The sequence below is a fragment of the Homo sapiens genome, chromosome 1, assembly GCF_000001405.40.
Source record: "Homo sapiens chromosome 1, GRCh38.p14 Primary Assembly".
Taxonomy (NCBI): Eukaryota; Metazoa; Chordata; class Mammalia; order Primates; family Hominidae; genus Homo; species Homo sapiens.
Genome location: NC_000001.11, coordinates 153,105,831 through 153,120,799, shown reverse-complemented (window position 1 = coordinate 153,120,799; position 14,969 = coordinate 153,105,831). Strand labels below are relative to the sequence as shown.

The 14,969-nt window shown below is 36.6% G+C and overlaps 1 protein-coding gene across 2 annotated transcripts; it reads left to right on the top strand.

Annotated features, from left to right (window-relative positions):
* Nucleotides 1–1,331: 1,331 nt before the first annotated feature.
* Nucleotides 1,332–8,679, top strand: SPRR2F (small proline rich protein 2F). 2 transcript variants are annotated; one of them, NM_001382255.1, is made up of 2 exons: nucleotides 1,332–1,447; nucleotides 8,048–8,679. In NM_001382255.1, exon 2 carries the CDS (start codon nucleotides 8,067–8,069, stop codon nucleotides 8,283–8,285), a length of 219 nt encoding a protein of 72 aa, NP_001369184.1. In that variant the 5' UTR covers nucleotides 1,332–1,447; nucleotides 8,048–8,066; the 3' UTR covers nucleotides 8,286–8,679. The 2 variants fall into 2 exon arrangements, with proteins under 2 accessions (NP_001369184.1, NP_001014450.1); NM_001014450.3 differs by lacking the exon at nucleotides 1,332–1,447 and adding an exon at nucleotides 7,284–7,326.
* The last annotated feature ends 6,290 nt before the right edge of the window (nucleotides 8,680–14,969 follow it).

The following is a 14,969-nucleotide window of genomic DNA, read 5'->3' as shown; positions in this document are numbered from 1 at the left end:
ATTTCCGTTAGCACTGTTTTGCTGCAACCCATAAGTTTTGGTATGACATGCTTTTGTTTTTAGTAGTCTCAAAGTATTTAATTTTCCCTGTGAATTCTTCTCTGACCCATTGATTGTTAAAGAGTGTGTTGTTTAATTTCTACAAATTTGTGAATTTTCCAGTTTTTCTTTGATTATAGATTTCTAGTTTCATTCCATCATGACTGGAAAAGTACTTTGTATGATTTTAGTCTTTTAAAATATATTAACTTGTTTTGCAGCATAATATAATATATGATCTATCCTGGGGAGTGTTCCATGTTCTCTTGAGAAAACTGTAATGTGGATTCTGCTGTTGGTGGGTGGAGTATTCTCTATTTGCCTCTTAGGTCTAATTGGTCTATACTTTTTCGCAAATCATCTTTTTTTTTTTCAAACTTCTGTCATTCTAGTCATTATTGAAAGTGAAATATTGAAGTTTTCAACTTTTATTATAGATCTGTCAATTATTTAAAAAATTTATTTCAGTGTAGCTTCATATATTAATTGGAGTTCTGATATTTAGTGAATGTATGATTATAATAGCTATATCTTCTTGGTAAATTGATCCTTTTATCAATATATGATGTCTTTTTTTGTCTCTGATAATGGTATTTAACTTGAAGTATGGCTTTACAAAATATTAGTTTAGCCACCTCAGCTCTCTTTTGGCTTCTATTTGCATAGAATTTACTTTTCCATCCTATTACTTTCACCCTGTTTGTGAGGTGGGAAATTAAGGAAGGAAAGAAAAATAAAATTAAAAAGAAAAAGAAATAAGCTTTCCTGTATTAGGCTGACTTATCTCAGAGGCAGCAACAGGCACAGCCCAGACCCAGGAAAAGCCTTGATAAACATTATCTAAGAAGCTAGTACACAAAGAAATCTACTCTGGAGACCCTCCCAGCACTCTTTCAACACAGGGAGGAGAAAAACAAATTTTCCTTTCTTTTATGGTATAAGTTTATAGATTCCTGTTCTCTGTATCTAGTAACTTCAAGTATTCTGTTTTGTCTAAGTGGAACAGTGAAGGACATGAGCTGTCTGAGCAGGCCTGAATTATGGCCACCTGGGCGCTGTAGTGAAGGTCATGGAATAAGCTGTGCTAGGCACTAGGGCAAACCTAGATAACGGCCATCTTGGTTACATAGCAACAGTCATGTGTAATCCTGAGTTATGAACCTGTTAAAATTTGATTAACTGTCTTTGTTCTGCCTCTGTATCCTCACTTTCACGCCACTGTAAGCCTGCTTCAAGCTAGCCCATCCCCTTTTAAAAGTGTGTATAAAAGTTAAGTGCTGTCTTTGTTCTTGGCACATCTTCTGACGTTAATCTTCTGGGTCTGAGTGCATTCAATAAATCCTCCTCCTTTTACCCCGTGGTCTTTCTGGTTCTCCTGATTCTGCAACCGTTGTGTCTTCCATGTAAAGTGAGTCTCTCTTAAATAGCATAGAGTTGGATCTTTTTTCTTTTTTATCCATTCCACCAATCTCTGTTTGTTGATTAGAAAGTTTAATTCTCCATTCAAGGAATTCCATTTAAAGTAATCATTGATGACGAAGGTCTTCCTTCCGCATTTACTGTATATTGTTTGTCCTTCATTTCTTCCATGATTGCTTGATTTTGTGTTCAGTTGATCCTTGTAGAAAAACTTTTTGATTGTGTTTATTTTTCCTTTTGTATATGTTCTATAGATATTTATTTTGGGGTTACAATGGGGATTATATATAACATCCTAAAGTTACAGTTATCTAGTTTGAATTAACACCAACTTAACTGTAAATGCATAAAAAATTCAACTCTGACAAAAGTCTATCCCCTTTTTATGTTATTGATTTCACCAATTACATCTTTCTACGTGGCATGTCCACTAACTTTGGCTTATAATTATATTTTATGAATTTGCATTTTAAATCCTGTAGAAAATAAAAAGTGGAGTTACAAGCTAAAATTACAATAATGCTGGCTTTTACGTTTGCCCATGTACTTTTACCAGAGACCTTTATATCTACATACAGTTTCAAATTTCTCTCTAGCATCCTTTTACTTCAAATCAAAAGGCTCTCTTTATCATTTCTCACACAGGAAATCTAGGAGCAATGAACCGCCTCAGGTTTTGATTATTAGAGAATGTTATAATTTCGCCCTCATTTTTTAAGTACAATTTTGCCAGAAGCGAAATTCTAGGTTGCCATTTTTTCCTTTCAGCACTCTCATTATATCATCCCACTGCCTCCTGATCTCCAAGACATCTGATGATAAATTGGTCAACAGTCTTATTAAGGATCACTTATATATGAAGATTCACTTATCTCTTGATGCTTTGAATATTCTCTCTTTGATAGTTTGATTATAATGTGCCTCCGTGTGGCTCTCTTTGAATTTATTTTACTAGGAGTTTGTTGAACTCTTTGGATGTGTAAATTTATCTTTTACTGAAGTCACATATATGGAACCTTAAAGTATGTAGTCTTTAAGACGGCCTTCTGTTACTTATCAATTTGCATTTAAAATTCAACCATGTCTTTGTGAGTCTTGATAGGTCATTCCATTTTGTCACTGTACAGTATTCCACTCTATGGGTGTGATATACTACAGTTTATTTATCTATTTATCTACTGAAGGACACCTTGGTGGATCATAATTCTTGGAAATTATGAATAAAGCTACTATAAACATTTGAATCCAGGTTATTTTTTGTGGGCATATTTTGAAATCTGTTACATGAATTTCTAGGAGTCATGATGATGGATGCTATGGTAAAATTATGTTTAGTTCTGTGAGATCATGAGTCAGTTTTGATTTTTCTGTTTATATTTTATTTAACTTCTCTTTAACTTATGGTACAATGCTGTCAGCCCTCTTCTATGTTAGAGTTTAAACTGCTTTTCCACTCCAGAGTTTTTCACAATTTTGTCCGGTTTACTTGCTTTCCTTTATTTATTTTTGTGTGTGTGAAGGGAGGCAACTTTAAATCCATGCACATTCACTGTCTTAAAAAGATTCTTAAGAGGAGAAGTGTCAGATTTATTCTATTTCTTAGCCCATGTTTTTAATCTCCCTAACACAAAGCATACAAAATCATCTGTATTTCTGATAGCTCTTGAAATTATTCTTTTAACTAGTCTGATCTAACATTTAGAGAAAATAGAACTAGAATTTACAGGCCTTATTTTCTTTGGGAAGGTTAATGCTAATGAATGATTCAGTTCCTTATAAGGACTTAGACTGAAATTTAAGTAATCTGCCACCAGAATAAATATGATATTTAAGTGAGAGAATTTTTTATTGTCCTGAACAGCTAATCATAGTAATAGTAAACTAGATTAGAGATTACATTATATATTTTTATACAGAATGCTAAATATTTACAATGTCAATTTTCTGCAAACTAACACAGTTAACATATTGCATTTATTGTATTTAGTTATTTTTGTACTTAACAGTAGTCAGAAGACAATCTTAGTCCAAATAACTAAGAACAATTAAATTATCTTGTTTCTGTACTTTATTCTACATTTCTTCTTTGATTAACTCCCATTTTCACCACATAAGAGTAAGTGTCACGGTTAGCCCATCTTATTATTTCACCACACCTCATTCAAATAAAATATTTTCATTTGCTTCCCCCTAAAATCTTCTGGCTCTGACCTAAAAGAAATATGATATAAAATATCTTAAAGATAAAGCAAATAACTTACCATCAAACACATCTCAAACTTGAAGTTTTGGCTCTATTTCTTTGATTAACAATGTATTACATTACTATTATGAGTACTATCTGTAGTCATAAGTCTAAGTACATAATGTACTAAGTACTTTATGTGCAATTTCTGATTTAATTTTTTTCTTTTGACAATTTAATGGTAGGTACTATTATTATCACTTGGTCTTTTATCCTTACCACCTGTCTTAATAACTATCAATTTCTTCCAATTTCATCATAATCGGACAAATTTTATGATTACTGTCTTTCTGGCTCTCAGATAGTAGACAAACTCATTCCTGATGTTTTTACCCTGGTATGATCTCTCAATTTTGGTGAACTGTTTCATAGACATGTATGGCTATTGGGTGCCTATGGCTTCTCTGTGTTTATGTCACTGGTAGGAGGAATGGTGATTATTATTAGGAATTTTCTTCAAGAAAGATTATAATAGGGAGGTAATTAAATGTTGGGGTATAATAATAAAACAATTCCTACTCACGTCCAGCCCCACCTTTGGTGTTTGGCCAGAGATGCTTAAAAGGAAAAAGATCATTATCTCACTAATTGAGCTATGGACAGACTTGTCTCTTGTTAGCTTTTCAAAGCAGAATTTTAAGTCTTTACAAAATAATAGGTAACATTTGGAGAATATTTTGAAAAGGAAAATAAGAAAATAAAAATCATCTGTAATTACACCAACCAAACAGAATCACATTTAATAAAATGTTTTAGGTATTTCTTATCTTTTCATACATAAATGTTAAAATGTTGTCATGCTTTATATATGCTTTTACTATAATTTGAATGTTTTAAATAATATTAAATAGTCTTCTAAAACATCCTCCCTAATGATCTTAAGAATTCTGCAACATTAATGTCCCATAATTTATCTGATTAAGCAAAATTATGGAATAATGATGGAATGTAAGCCTATATTCAGGAATAAAACAGAAGCAGAAATTCACAGAGACTTAGAGTGATTTATTTAAGGCTAGGAAAATCTTCCCACAATTCCTGTTTCTTCTTGCATGTTTGATGGCAGAATATTAATTTGCCAGGACTATTTTGTTTAATGGTGTAAAATGCATAGTAGTAAAATGTGAGATAGAAGTTGAATCAAGAATAACACAAAAGTTCAAAAGCTTTTGTTCTTTCTTGTCATTTTTATGTAGTAATGATTTAAACTTAATAATCCCTTCAAAAATTATGGAGTAAAAGTAGGAGAAATGGACCTAAGGCTATCAGACTGTTAAAGAACATAAAGCTAACTTCTTTATATATGTGGAGAGATAATAGAAAGGTAGATGGATAGATAGATGACACATTAGATAGATAGAAGATAGATAGATAGATAGATAGACACACACCCATGGTGGGTATGTGTGTGTGTGTAAAGTATGCCTTGCTGCATGTCTCAGGGCCTGGATGTCCTAACTTGGGGAAGCTGTGACTGTTAGCTGCCCCTCTTCATGTTGTGGCCATTCCTCATGTAGCTGGTCTGTGAGAAACTCTGAATTTCAAGTTCACTTGTAAAGTGAGCCTGTCTGAGATGCTGGGGGCACTAGGGCTGCTGCCACTCTGGTGCCTGCACTGCTGTGATAAACAGCCTGTTTGAGTGGGGTGTTCTCAGAAGGGGAGTCTCAGGGCATGACTCAAACTGTATTATCTTACACAGTGATCTCATTTGGCAGCCAATTCTCCAATTTTGCATGTTAGAAATCAGACATTTCTCTAAGGATTTGTGTTTTAGATGTGATGTGAGGCTGTTGGGGAGTAGTAAGTGACCTATTGAATAAAGGCCCTTTACTTTGTCCCCTGATGTGCTTAGCATGCGTAATAGTCTGTAGGGGTAATTTGGTGAGAACACCATTTGTAAATACCTGGCCTTAAGGTGCTGACGTGATGTCTTTATTTCTGTACTGTCCTGGCCAGTAGTGATCTTGCCCCAAAGCCCTTCCTTATTGACGGGAGCAATGGCAGCTCTGGGAACCTAACCTGCTTAACTGAGGGATGTGATGCTGGGTTGATTCAGCACTCCTACCCTTCCTGGAGCATAGCTGGTGACTGCTCCAATGATTTTGAGTCTTTCCTCTTCCTCTTCCTCATTTTCCTTTCTTCTTCTCCAACTATAAACCACATTCTTGGAAAGCTTTCTGACTACTGGTCTAAGGAAGCTCTAGCAACATCAACTTAAATATTTAATATACCATGTTTAGTAAGCCTCACTAATTGCTGGAAGAGTTTACAAAAGATATGAAAGAGGAGTCACTATATGCATTGACAATATATATGTTGAGTGAACAATATGTACCAAAATGAATAGATGAGAGGTGTACATTGGGGTGTGACTTGATAATCTAGCAGGTCATGAGACTAGGGGGCTTATGGAAAAGACAGAGAAAGAACATGCAAACAAATTAAAAAACACTGAGAAACACCTAAAACCTGTTTAGAAACAGAGGGGAAGAATACATATTAGATTATACTTAATTTGTATTTTCCCCCAGATTTCAGACTTTAGGTGCGCTGACCATCTCCACTCTGCAAACCTACTTCTAATTATTCACATATGATAATGTGAGTCTATGCAGATTGTGCTCTATAGGGTGGTTTCAGGGAATCATATAGGCATGGTTCAATACATAGATTTTGAATGAATGCTTGTAATTTTGTTTCATGTCTCTCCGTTTCCTTAATGTGGTAGCAAAGAATACATTTTTATAAATAAAAAGGCGCTAGTATACATCCTTAATGGCAGCAAGTAGCAAATGTGCTGGGGAGACTGGCTGTCACTCTGGAATCTGTCCCAGGTGACAATTGCCTGTACAAATTGGGTGGAGAAGACAGCTTCAAAGAGGAAAGGAAAATCGTAAAATCCAGGGTTCTATGAGAGAGAAAGATAGAAGTGGAGGAGAAAGTTTCTGGCTTGAACAGGGTCAGCAGATGGCACAATGCGGTCAGCTCCCATCTCCAGAGGTAAGTATGATTCTCCCCTGCTTATAATCACAGGGAGGAGAGGTGACCTGCCTGTGGTCACACAACTTAGCAACAAAAAAAAAAAAAAAAAAAAAAAAAAAAAATCTGGGACCAGAACCCAGGCCTTTGTTAGGTCTCTCCTTCCTTTTAGCGCATTGGCAAATTGTACAAGGAAAGTAGAGGTGGAGATGGGTTCATGTACAACAATATGGCATTCAGTAAAGTGGATCAGGACAGGAAGTTTTATGATTTAGGGAAGGTGTAAGACAGGAAAGGATCATTGCCCCCAGTCAAAAAAGAGAGCCCTTGACCACCAGTTAGAGAATCCCCCAAGTCCCTCTTTGCCATAGGTCACTGAAACTGAGATCTAAGGCAGGGCCTCTGTGAGTCAGGAGCACTTAACCCAGTGGGGAGATCCCAGAACAGGATATTTCCTAGTTTGATAATCACTGTCAGGCCAGTTGTGGATAAATTTGCATTTGGCTTAAGAAATTACTGGATAAGTGTAGCTTTTGGCAGTTACACTTTCTGCTGGGAGGGGTAGCAGGCCCTATAAAGAGGTTTTCTGCTGCACGACTCCTAAACTCCTGGTACCTAAGCACCGATCTGCCTTGGAGAACCTGGTGAGTCGGCTTCCTGGAGTTCCTCTGTTCTTTGTGCCCTGAAATGTTGAATTTAATCTGAATACAGCAAGTTTGGTTGATCCAATCCTATGAATGTTGATTTGATGCTACTTAGTGGATGGAAATTTAGGATTAGAGCACAATGATATGCTATTTTAGCTTTCTTTTAGTACAGAGTTAGGTGTTCATATGGACAGAGAAGTTAGTTAAGGGGAAAGCTTTGATTTGAAGAAGAAAAAATAACAAAGTATTTTTCTTTTTTTCTCTGCTTTTCTGGTGTCCTTTTCAAAGGTTTATGTCGTAGCAGGTGTGAGAGCATGCAATTCTTCCCAAACAGTCGTTTTCTGTGTGCCTATGTCAACCCACTGGGATTTTACAACAGATAATGATAACAGGAATAGCTTGTGAGATAGCCCTGGGTATCTGAACTTGTGACTGCCTTTCTTGAAGATGTTATTTTCATAGAAATAACATGCTTGGTTGTTTACTACAGAGATATTTTCTTTGGAAAAATTATATGAGAAAACACAAGAGTTCCCAGGGACAATGAAGTAATTCGCTGAAGTGGAAGTGAGAAGCCAGGGACTCTTGAAAAGGGAATTAAGAGTTTAAATAATTTCTTGGAGATTGGAGAAATAATATGCCATGGTATTACATAAGCTTTGGCTTCTCTCTCTGGAGGATTCCCTTCCCGTGAACACTGTCATATAATTTCTTTCAGATTCTGAGACTCCAGCAGGATGTCTTATCAACAGCAGCAGTGCAAGCAGCCCTGCCAGCCACCTCCTGTGTGCCCCGCGCCAAAGTGCCCAGAGCCATGTCCACCCCCGAAGTGCCCTGAGCCCTGCCCACCATCAAAGTGTCCACAGTCCTGCCCACCTCAGCAGTGCCAGCAGAAATGTCCTCCTGTGACACCTTCCCCACCCTGCCAGCCAAAGTGTCCACCCAAGAGCAAGTAACAGCTTCAGGATTCATCAGGAGCATGAAAGGATAAGGATAATTGGCTCACCTCGTTCCACAGCTCCACCTGCATCTTCTCATCAAAGCCATCCAGGGATACACAGGGAGCTTCTTTCCTCTTAGCCTGTGATCGGCCTGTGATGATCTCTGATAGCAAAAGGTTTTCTTTTTGAGGCTGCCATACTGCCACTGTCCAGGTGGAGACTGAGCAAAGGAAGTCCTGGGCTGTGCCAGCTCCCAGAGCTTCAGAAGAAAGAGCAGCTCTCTCCCTGGGAACCATTAGAGAATTCTGTTGATGTTTTCTGTGTCTGTCTGTCCCCTGGGCATGAGCTTCCACCACCTGTGCAGTTGTCACTTTCCTTTCACTCCCTGAATAAAGAATCTATGCATATATATTTGTGAATGGATCTTTTGTTTCTTTTCAAATATGCTTTATTAGCAATATTTTATAATCATTTGGGTATATTTCCACTTTTCTTTCATCCACAGACAGGATCTCACAATTTGGGACATATCAAAGATTATTTCTGTATTTTTTTATTTTTATTTTCCTTAATTAGTGTTTGATTGATTTGAGGAACATATTATTCAACTTCTCTGAATGTCAATCTCTTTACTGCAAAGTGAGCAAAATAACATTTACTTAACAAACTTGTCTAAGGCATAAAATTGAATTACTATCTGAAATTTTAATGGCACAATGCCTAACACATGATTAGCTGTCATTTGATAGAGGTTTATTCGCAGCAACATATCATCATCGTTTCCACCATTATGATTATCATCATCATCATCATCATGATCATCAAGATCATCATCATCATCACTCCCCACGACAACCACTACCATATTTGTTCCAGCAATAGAATGGCTTGGTTGTAACTAATATAGAAAATAAGAAGACTCTCTTTGCTATTTTTTATTGATTCTTAATACCTATACACATTTTGGGGTACATGTGATATTTTGTTACATGGATCAAATGTATAATGATAAAGTCATGATATTAGGAAATTTAGGGCATTCATTACCTTGAGCATTTATCATTTCTTTCTTTGTTGGAAACATTTTAATTCCTCTCTTCTAGCTATTTTGAAAAATACAATATGTTGTTGTAAACTGTAGTCACCCTACTCTGCTATCAAATATTAAAACTTACTCCTTTTTAAAAATTTTTTATTATACTTTAAGTTCTGGGGTACATGTGCAGAACGTGTAGGTTTGTTACATAGGTATACATGTGCCATGGTTGTTTGCCGAACACATTAACCCATTATCTATATTAGGTATTTCTCTTAATGCTATCCCTCCCATAGCCCCTCACTCCCCAACAGGCCCCAGTGTGTGATATTCCCCTCCCTGTGTCCATGGGTTCTCATTGTTCAACTCCCACTTATGAGTGAGAACATGCGGTGTTTGGTTTTCTGTTCTTGTGTTAGTTTGCTGAGAACGATGGTTTCCACCTTCATCCATCTCCCTGCAAAGGACACGAACTCATCCTCTTTTATGGCTGCATAGTATTCCATGGTGTATATGTGCCACATTTTCTTTATCCAGTCTATCATTGATGGGCATTTGGGTTGGTTCCAAGTCTTTGCTATTGTGAATAGTGCCACAATAAACATACGTGTGCATGTGTCTTTACAGTAGAGTGATTTATAATCCTTTGGGTATATACCCAGTAATGGTATTGCTGGATCAAATGGTATTTCTTTTTTTTTTTTTTAAAGAGGGTTTTTTTTAAATTTTTTTAATTATTTATTTATTTATTTATTATTATTATATTTTAAGTTTCAGGGCACATGTGCACAATGTGCAGGTTAGTTACATATGTATACATGTGCCATGCTGGTGTGCTGCACCCACTAACTTGTCATCTAGCATTAGGTATATCTCCCAATGCTATCCCTCCCCCCTCCCCCACCCCACAACAGTCCCCAGAGTGTGATATTCCCCTTCCTGTGTCTATGTGCTCTCATTGTTCAATTCCCACCTATGAGAGAGAATATGCGGTGTTTGGTTTTTTGTTCTTGCGATAGTTTACTGAGAATGATGATTTCCAATTTCATCCATGTCCCTACAAAGGACATGAACTCATCATTTTTTATGGCTGCATAGGATTCCATGGTGTATATGTGCCACATTTTCTTAATCCAGTCTATCGTTGTTGGACATTTGGGTTGGTTCCAAGTCTTTGCTATTGTGAATAATGCCGCAATAAACATACGTGTGCATGTGTCTTTATAGCAGCATGATTTATAGTCCTTTGGGTATATACCCAGTAATGGGATGGCTGGGTCAAATGGTATTACTAGTTCTAGATCCCTGAGGAATCGCCACACTGACTTCCACAATGGTTGAACTAGTTTACAGTCCCACCAACAGTGTAAAAGTGTTCCTATTTCTCCACGTCCTCTCCAGCACCTGTTGTTTCCTGACTTTTTAATGATTGCCATTCTAACAGGTGTGAGATGGTATCTCATAGTGGTTTTGATTTGCATTTCTCTGATGGCCAGTGATGGTGAGCATTTTTTCATGTGTTTTTTGGCTGCATAAATGTCTTCTTTTGAGAAGTGTCTGTTCATGTCCTTTGCCCACTTTTTGATGGGGTTGTTTTTTTTTTTTCTTGTAAATTTGTTTGAGTTCATTGTAGATTCTGGAAATTAGTCCTTTGTCAGATGAGTAGGTTGTGAAAATTTTCTCCCATTTTGTAGGTTGCCTGTTCACTCTGATGGTAGTTTCTTTTCCTGTGCAGAAGCTCTTTAGTTTAATTAGATCCCATTTGTCAATTTCGGCTTTTGTTGCCATTGCTTTTGGTGATTTAGACATGAAGTCCTTGCCCATGCGTATGTCCTGAATGGTATTGCCTAGGTTTTCTTCTAGGGTTTTTATGGTTTAGGTCTAACGTTTAAGTCTTTAATCCATCTTGAATTGATTTTTGTATAAGGTTTAAGGAAGGGATCCAGTTTCAGCTTTCTACATATGGCTAGCCAGTTTTCCCAGCACCATTTATTAAATAGGGAATCCTTTCCCCATTGCTTGTTTTTCTCAGGTTTGTCAAAGATCAGATAGTTGTAGATATGTGGCGTTATTTCTGAGGGCTCTGTTCTGTTCCATTGATCTATATCTCTGTTTTGGTACCAGTACCATGCTGTTTTGGTTACTGTAGCCTTGTAGTATAGTTTGAAGTCAGGTAGTGTGATGCCTCCAGCTTTGTTCTTTTGGCTCAGGATTGACTTGGTGATGTGGGCTCTTTTTTGGTTCCATATGAACTTTAAAGTAGTTTTTTCCAATTCTGTGAAGAAAGTCATTGGTAGCTTAAAGGGGATGGCATTGAATCTGTAAATTACCTTGGGCAGTATGGCCATTTTCACAATATTGATTCTTCCTACCCATGAGCATGGAATGCTCTTCCATTTATTTGTATCCTCTTTTATTTCCTTGAGCAGTGGTTTGTAGTTTTCCTTGAAGAGGTCCTTCACATCCCTTGTAAGTTGGATTCTTAGGTATTTTATTCTCTTTGAAGCAATTGTGAATGGGAGTTCACTCATGATTTGGCTCTCTGTTTGTCTGTTATTGGTGTATAAGAATGCTTGTGATTTTTGTACTTTGATTTTGTATCCTGAGACTTTGCTGAAGTTGCTTATCAGCTTAAGGAGATTTTGGGCTGAGACAATGGGGTTTTCTAGATGTACAATCATGTCGTCTGCAAACAGGGACAATTTGACTTCCTCTTTTCCTAATTGAATACCCTTTATTTCCTTCTCCTGCCTAACCGCCCTGGCCAGAACTTCCAACACTATGTTGAATAGGTGTGGTGAGAGAGGGCATCCCTGTCTTGTGCCAGTTTTCAAAGGGAATTTCTGTTTCTAGATCCTTGAGGAATCGCCACACGTCTTCCACAATGGTTGAACAAATTTACACTCCCACCAACAGTGTAAAAGCATTCCTACTTCTCCACATCCTCTCCAGCATCTGTTGTTTTCCTGACTTTTTAATAATCACCCTTCTAACTGGCCTGAGATGGTATCTCACTGTGGTTTTGATTTGCATTCCTCTAATGACCAGTGATGATGAGCTTTTCTTCATATGTTTGTTGGCTGCATAAATGTCTTCTTTTGAGAAGTGTCTGTTCATATCCTTCTCCCACTTTTTGATGGTTTTTTTTTTCTTGTAAACTTGTTTAAGTTCTTTGTAGATTCTGGATATTAGCCCTTTGTCAGATGGGTAGATTGCAAAAATTTTCTCTCATTCTGTAGGTTGCCTGTTCACTCTGATGATAGTTTCTTTTGCTGTGCAGAAGCTCTTTAGTTTAATTAGATCCCATTTGTCAATTTTGGCTTTTGTTGCCATTGCTTTTGGTGTTTTAGTCATGAAGTCTTTGCCCATGCCTATGTCCTGAATGGTACTGCCTACAAAATCAATGTGCAAAAATCATAAGCATTCCTATACACCAATAATAGACAGAAAAATCTTGAGTGAACTCTCATTCACAATTGCTACAAAAAGAATAAAATACCTAGAAATACAACTTACAAGGGATGTGAAGGACCTCTTCAAGTAGAACTACAAACCACTGCTCAAGGAAATAAGAGAGGACACAAACAAATGTTAAAACATTCCATGTTCATGGATACAAGAATTAGTATCATGAAAATGGTCATACTGCCCAAAGTAATTAAGAGATTGAATGCTATCCCCATCAAGTGGAAAAAACTACTTTAAATTTCATATGGAACTAAAAAAAGAGCCTACATAGCCAAGACAATCCTAAGCAAAAAGAACAAACCTGGGGGCATCACGCTACCTGACTTCAAACTATACTACAAGGCTACAGTAACCAAAACAGCATGGTACTGGTATCAAAACTGATATATAGACCAATGGAACAGAACGGAGGCCTCAGAAATAACACATCTATAACCATCTGATCTTTGACAAACAAAACTTACTCCTTTTATGTATCTCTATGTTTGTACTCATTAACCAGTGTTTTTTCATTCTCCATCCCCTGAACACCCTTCCCTGCTTCTGGTATCTATCATGCTACTCTCTACCTTTATAGATCAGCTTTTGTAGCTCCCACATATAAGTGAAAACATACAATATTTGTCTTTCTCTGCTTGATTTATTTTACTTATCATAATGACCTCCAGTTGAATCCATGTTGCTTCCAATGACAGGATTCTATTCTTTTTATTACAATGGAATACTATTTCTTTGCATGTATACACAATATTTTCTTTATCCATTTATTTGTTAATGCATGCTTAGGTTACACATCTTTGCTATTGTGAATAGTGCTGCAATAACCGTGGGAGTTTAGGCATCCTTTTCATAATCTGATTTCTTTTTCCTTTGGATAGATACACAGCAGCTGGATTGTTGGATTGAATGATAGTTCTATTTTTAGTTTTTTTGGAGAAATCTTCTTACTGTTTTCCATGGTGGCTGTACTAACCTATATTCCCCCCAAGAGCATGTAAGACTTTTTCTTTACATCCTCTTCAGCACCTGCTATTTTGTTTTAAACTTTTATTTTAAGTTCAGGGGTAAATGTGCAGGTTTGTTATATACTTAAACTTGTGTCATAGGGGTTTAGCATACAGCAATTTCATCACCTAGGTATTAATTCTGGTACTCATTAGTTATTTTTTGTGATCCTTTCCTTCCCCATAACCATCACCCTGTGGTAGGCTCCATTGTCTGCAGTTCCCCTCTATGTGTCCATGTGTTCTCCTCATTTAACTTGCTGTTATAAGTGAAACATGTTGTATTTGGTTTTCTCTTTCTGCATTAGTTTGCTAAGCATAATGGCCTCCAGCTCCATCCATGTACCTGTAAAGGACACAGTCTCATTTCTTCTTATGGCTGCATAGAATTTCATGGTGTATATGTACCACTTTTCCTTTATCTATTCTTTTATCAATGGGCACTTAGTTTGATTCTATGTCTTTGCTATTATGAATAGTGCTGCAATGAACATAACACATTCATGTGTCTTTATGATAGAATGGTTTATATTCCTCTAGGTATATACCAAGTAATGGGATTGCTGGTTTTAATGGTAGTTCTTCAATTTTAATTCCTTGAGTAATTGCTACCCTGTATTCCACAATGTTTGAACTAATTTACACTTCCACCAACAGTGTATAAGCATTTATTTTCTCTACAACCTCTCTAGCACCTTTTATTTTTTTTGACATTTTAATAGCCATCTGACTGGTGTGAGACTCTATCTCATTGCAGTTTTGATTTGCATTTCTCCAGTGATCCGTGACATTGAACTTTTTTTCACATGCTTCTTGGCCATATGTATGTCTCCTTTTGAAAGTGTCTGTTCTTGTCTTTTGTTCACTTTTCAAAGGGGCTGTTTATTTTTCATGTAAGTTTGTTCAAATTCCTTATAGATGCTGGATATTAGACGTTTATAAGATGTGTAGCTTGCAGTATTTTCAGTAGAGATGGGGTTTCACCATGTTATAGTGCTATAAATTTCCCTCTTAACACTGCTTTAGCTGTGTCCCAGAGATTTTGGTATTTTGTAGCTTAAGAACTTATTGATTTTTTTCCTTAATTTGATTATTTACCCAAAAGACATTCAGAAGCATGTTGTTGAATTTCTAAGTAATTGTATGTTTTTGAGTGAATTTCTTAGTCTTTATTGGTAATTTCATTGCACT